Below are 6,286 nucleotides of genomic sequence, written 5' to 3'. Positions count from 1 at the left end.
TGGGAAGCTTTTTGCCCAGGACCCCTCTTCTTGTTTAGCTAGAGTACTTGGCTTGGCCATCCAGCAAATCAAAGGTCGTATTTTCAAGTTGCCATGGAATCTACGGCTGAAAGGAGACAAACATGGTAATCTATTTACTGACTTTCTTGCCACTGTTCCCTGTTTAGATTTTTCTTTGAGCCAATGACATCCTAAAAGGTAAAACAGCAATGAGGTTTAGACAGAACAAAGCCCTGTGGACCCACAGCAAAGCCTCACCCTTCAGAAAGATGATGCCCCTGCACTCTGGCCACCTTGAGGGCAACACGGAAATGGTCACAAGTAGAAAAAATTGTGTTTACAGCTGTGTGTTCTGTAGTCCTATGAGAGAGAGAAAACAGTGGGCCCAAATGGAGAAGAAAGGGCTGCCTCATCCCTGCACAGCCCTTGGTGTTGTTTCATTTTATCCTAAGACTCATCTCATTTCAACTCAGCAGGCTGGGGTTTGGGGCTGTGTTGTAACTAGGACTCTTTTGCTTCCAAACACAACAAGAGCTACTTGAACTCACAGGAATTAGCCATAATTTTTCAAATGACAAAAACTGAATGTCTTCCCTGAAAGAGAGAGCCGCAGCAGGAGCCAGCTTGCTGGAAGGAATTGACTGGAGTGTTTTCTTCATTCTGAATCCGCTTTCCCTGCCTGTCCCCAGCAGATGTGGGCCAGCCTTATGGAAAGACTCATTCTAGATGAGTGGGATTCTAAGAAGCAAGTACAAGCGGATTGCCACCCCATCGTCTTGTAAGGCAGCTGGCCTGGAAAATTCAGTCCCAAAAGGCAGCTGTGACACAGCTGTGAGGTTCTTATCACCACTTCACCAACCTCTAATCACAGGCTCAGAATTAGAGCAAACGGGACAATCAGTGTGATGAGAGAGGGAGAAGAAGACCTGTGACCCAGCTACCAAGAACCCTTTTCTACCCCCAATTTGCCCTCCAGATGGATTCAACTCTCTAGGGCAAAACACCCTCTTTCTGGGTTTCTGGGACCTGTGGGAAGGAATATGGGGGGCTTCTACCGCACAGGGTCTAACTTTAAGCCAATTTCATCTGAATCCCAAAGGATGAAACCTCTCTTCTGACATCAGGAAAGCGACGATATTTCAGCCTAGGCACACTAATCTGGCCGTTGAGAGATGTTTTGGAATGAACTTTTCCAAATAGTATCTTCCACAAAGGAAGGCAGCTAAGATTTGAGGCCAGATTCCTTGAAAGTGCCATTGTTACTCCTCTACCCTGCTGGGACATAAGGTAGCAGGAGGAGGCATTAGATGCAGATGGGTGCAGCATCCACAGAGCAGGCTGAGTGAGCCTCTTGGTTTTAGGGCTCTGGATGCAGCTGTGGGAACCACTCCAACAACTGTGTCCTCCACATAGGCTCCCTGGAAAAAGGTGCAGGGTATAGGCTGCACCACAAGCAGGCAGACACATTTTTATTATAGAATCAAATGGATGTAACATTTTAACTTTGCAGGGCTACTTTGCAGTTCATGAAATAAAACCTGTGCACAGACATTATCTTCCCAACAATCTTTCATTGGAAATTTTTTTTTAATTTTTATAAATTTTTGTGGGTACATAGTAGGTGTATACATTTATGGGGTACATGAAATGTTTTGATACAGGCATGAAATGTGAAATAAGCACATCATGGAGAATAGTGTATCCATCCCCTCAAGCATTTATCCTTTGAGTTGCAAATAATCGAATTACATTATTAAAGTTATTAAAAAATATGCAATTAAGACCGGGCGTGGTGGCTCATGCCTGTAATCCCAGCATTTTGGGAAGCCAAGGTGGGCAGATAACTTGAGCTCAGGAGTTTGAGACCAGCCTGGGCAACATGGCAAAACCCTGTCTCTACAGAAAATACAAAAATTTGCCATGCGTGGTGGCACGTGCCTGTAGTCGCAGCTTCTTGGGAGGCTGAGGTGGGAGGATTCCTTGAGCCTAGGAGGCGGAGGTTGCAGTGAGCCAAAATCATGCCACTGCACTCCAGCCTGGGTGACAGAGTGAGATCCTGTCTCTCTCTCTTCTCTCTCTATATATATACACACAGACACATATATATGTGTGTGCATATATATCTATATATATGTATATATGTGTGTATATATGTTTACATATGTATATATATACACACACAAGTATGTTATTATTGACTATAGTCACCCTATTGTGCTATCAAATAGTAAGTCTTTTTTTTTTGAGATGGAGTCTTGCTCTGTCGCCCAGGCTGGCGTGCAGTGGCGTGATCTTGGCTCACTGCCAGCTCCGCCTCCTGGGTTCATGCCATTCTCCTGCCTCCTCCTCCCGAGTAGCTGGGTCTACGGGTGTCCGCCACCATGCCTGGCTAATTTTTTTTTGGTATTTTTAGTAGAGATGGAGTTTCACCATGTTAGCCAGGATGGTCTCAATCTCCTGACCTCATGATCCGCCCACCTTAGTCTCCCAAAGTGTTGAGATTACAGGCGTGAGCCACTGCGCCCGGCCAATAGTAGGTCTTATTCATTTTTTTTTTGGACCCATTAACCATCCCCACCTCCCCTCAATCCCCCAATACCCTTCCCAGCCTCTGGTAACCTTCTACTCTCTAAGTTTATGAATTCAATTGATTTGATTTTTAGATCTCACAAATATGTGAGAACATGTGATGTTTGTCTTTCTGTGCCTGGCTTGTTTCACTTAACATAATGATCTCCAGTTCCATCCATGTTGTTGCAAATGACAGGATAGGCTGAATAGTACTCCATTGTGTATCTGGTACCACATTTTCTTTATCCATTTATCTGTTGATGGACACAGAGTTTGCTTCCAAATCTTAGCTTTTGTAAACAGTGGTGCAACAAACATAGTGCAGATATCTCTTCGATATACCGATTTCCTTTCTTTTGGGTATATACCTAGCAGTGGGATTGCTGGATCATATGGTAGCTCAACTTTTAGTTTTTTGAGGAACCTCCAAACTGTTCTCTGTAGTGTTTGTACTAATTTATATCCCCACCAACAGTGTATGAGGGTTCCCTTTTCTCCACACCCTCATCAGCATTTGTTATTATTGCCTGTCTTTTGGATAAAAGCCATTTTAACTGGGGTGAGATGATATCTCATTGCAGTTTAGATTTTATTTCTCTGATGATCCGTGATGTTGAGCACCTTTTCATATGCCTGTTTGCTATTTGGATGTCTTCTTTTGAGAAATGTCTATTTAAATCTTTTGCACATTTTTTATCAAATTATTAGACTTTTTCCTATAGTCTTCCCGACAATCTTGTGAGGTGAGTAAAGTATGGATTTGACAAGATAACAAAAGACGTTGTAGCTATGCCAACATCACACCTTTTGTGATTGCTGGGAGCACCGAGGTTCCCTGTCAATCTTCCTGAAGCAGGAAATGAGGTGGGCCTTGGGACTTGGGGCGGAAGGGCCTTGTGCTGGATGCTGGAGGATTGGAGGGCAGAGGAGGCAGGGAGGGGCAGCTTGAACAGCCTGTGCTAACACAGGGCCTGAGAGGGAGCCACCACTGAACTGCCTTCTTTTCTTGCTAAAAGAGAGGTGATGGTCAATTTTTTGTTAATCTCAAGGTGAAGAAATTGTAATATGAAAGACTAGTGATAAGCATTAGAATAAGTTAATCATTAAATTAAGGTTGCAGCCGGGCACGGTGGCTCACGCCTGTAATCCCAGCACTTTGGGAGGCCAGGGCAGGCAGATCACGAGGGCAGGAGTTCGAGACCATCCTGGCTAACACGGTGAAATCCCATCTCTTCTAAAAATACAAAAAATTAGCCAGGTGTGGTGGCACGCCCCTGTAGTACCAGCTACTCAGGAGGCTGAGGCAGGAGAATTGCTTGAACCCGGGAAGGGAGGTTGCAGTGTGCAGAGATGGTGTCACTGCACTCCAGCCTGGGAAAAAGAGTAAGACTGTCTCAAAAAAAAAAAAAAAAATTAAGGTTGCATCATTATTATACATAGAGTAATATGCTTGAATAAAAATGTAAAAAATATCTTTCAACTGGGAGAGATCTAAATGAGGGAAGCCACTTCATACGTATTTGTTGTTCACCTACCATGTGTCTGGCACTATTCTGGGTGCTTGGGATACTGCAGTGAGCAAAACAGATCTCTTATTTTGTGGAGCCTACATTCTAGAATTTAAAAATAGACTATAAACCACGATTACAATAAGTAAATTCTTTAGAATGTTTGAAAGTGATCATTGATAGGGAGATATTAGGTTGATGCAAAAGCAATCACAGTTTCTGCCATGACTTTTAATGGCAAAACTGCGATTACTTTTGCACCAACCTAATAAAAAACAAAATGCAGACACAACAGGAGTCCCAGGAAGGGGGAGGAGAGCGAAGACTCCAGTTGTAACTAGGAGGCCAGGGCAGGCCACTCTGAGAGACACCTGCCCCCAGACTTGAAGGAGAGAAGGGAGTTCATCTGCAGACATCTGCCGTGCTCCGGTCTGAGAGAATAGCCGGCCCACAGGCCTGGAGCTTCGTGTCCCTGGAATGCTTGGTGGCCTGTGCTGCTGGTGGCCTCCCACAGTGAGGGAGGGACAGCAGCAGGTCACCTTTCAATGTCAGAGGGGCAGCCACAGGGTGAGATCATAACGCTCTTAAAAGTCATTGTGAAAACGTGGCTTTTGCTCTGAGTGAAAGGTGGAGGCTTTAGAGGTCTCTGAGCAGAGGGTTAGAATCATTTCACTTTCTCATTATATCCTTCTGGCTGCTGCCTTCAGTAGGGTGAGAAACTGGAGGCCAGATGAGGGACAGACAATGTGGCTGGGGCTGGCCGGTAGCAATGGATGTGATGACCGGTGCTTAGATACTGCATGTGCTTTGAAGGCTTTGAAGGTAGAAACAACAGAATTTCCCCCAAGGATCAGATGTGGAGTGTGACAGTAAAAATGGAGGCAAGGGGCCGGGCGTGGTGGCTCATGCCTGTAATCCCAGCACTTTGGGAGGCCAAGGCAGGCAGATCATGAGGTCAGGAGATCGAGATCATCCTGGCTAACATGGTGAAACCCCGTCTCTACTAAAAATACAAAAAACTAGCCAGGCGTGATGGCACACACCTGTAGTCTCAGCTATTCGGGAGGCTGAGGCAGGAGAATCGCTTGAACCCAGGAGGTGGACATTGCAGTGAACCGAGATCGCACCACTGCACTCCAGCCTGGACGACAGAGTAAGACTCCATCTCAAAAAAAAAAAAAAAAAGACAAGGAAGAGATAAGAGTTTTTTGGCCTGAGGAAGTGAAAGGGCAGAAATGTCATGAACTGAGACAGAGACAGTTGTGAGCGGAGCACATTTTTAGAGGAAGAACAGGTTTGAGACCTATTAACTTGGCGATGTCTACATGTTGTGTTAGATATATGTGGCGATGTGTTGAGCACATGAGAATCTGGAGCTTGGGAAAGAGGTTTGGGCTGGAGTTGCAGCTTGTGGGTGGTTGGTGTGTAGATGATTTGTAAAGCCCAGAGTCTGCATTGGTTCACCAAGAAGCAAGTACAGATGGAGAACAGAAAGGAATAACTTTCAAGAGAGCATAAAAATAGACTGAAACATTACATATTTCAGATGCAAATTTTAAAAAAAATACATGTTTTTTGTTAATCACCCTACAAATGCAAAGCAATCCCAATGATGTTTATGAGCTCTACAAGAAGGACCCCTTTTACAACAATAAAATCCCTTATTTTTATTGTTACTGTTTTTTGGTTGCTTACTATTTATCAGTTCTTGGATGTACTAAGTGTCTTGCATGCATTATCTCATGTGATTCCTCAACAATGCTATGAAAAGGCACTATCATTATCCCCTATTTATAGATGAGGAAATTGAAGCACAGAGATTTAGTAACTTGCCTAAAGTCCCATAGTTTACTTGAAAGGAATAAATATAACTAAGAAATGTGAAAGAGGTAGAACAATAGGAGGAAACTTAATCTACTTTATATCAAAGTGTATTCTAGCTACTGTCATTAAAATAGTGGAACATTAGTGAAATGTATGTTTGGGAATTTAGAATATGGTAAAGAGCGTGTTCTGTATCATTGAAGATGAACTATGTTGGAATAGTTGGATATCTGCTGGGAAAAACATTAAGGATTCCTGTTCCCTGCCAGTGGCAGCCATGAAAGGGCACTGCTATGCTTGCCCCCGTGACAGAGGGTGTAGTTCCCTGATAGGTCCCAGCTGCAGCCCCCTGGGTCACCTGCAGCACTGGAGGTGAGGCCATG

General features: G+C 44.1%; 1 annotated feature.

The window, feature by feature from the left end:
* Positions 4,557–5,058: an enhancer, noted in NCBI's record as "H3K4me1 hESC enhancer chr7:36097479-36097980 (GRCh37/hg19 assembly coordinates)". NCBI's record gives its function as "activates a minimal SCP1, AML or CMV promoter by ChIP-STARR-seq in primed H9 embryonic stem cells {active_cell/tissue: H9 hESC(primed)}" and the evidence as "EXISTENCE:reporter gene assay evidence [ECO:0000049][PMID:30033119]".

The sequence above is a fragment of the Homo sapiens genome, chromosome 7 (assembly GCF_000001405.40).
Source record: "Homo sapiens chromosome 7, GRCh38.p14 Primary Assembly".
NCBI lineage: Eukaryota > Metazoa > Chordata > Mammalia > Primates > Hominidae > Homo > Homo sapiens.
This window is presented reverse-complemented; position numbering and strand designations above follow the sequence as displayed.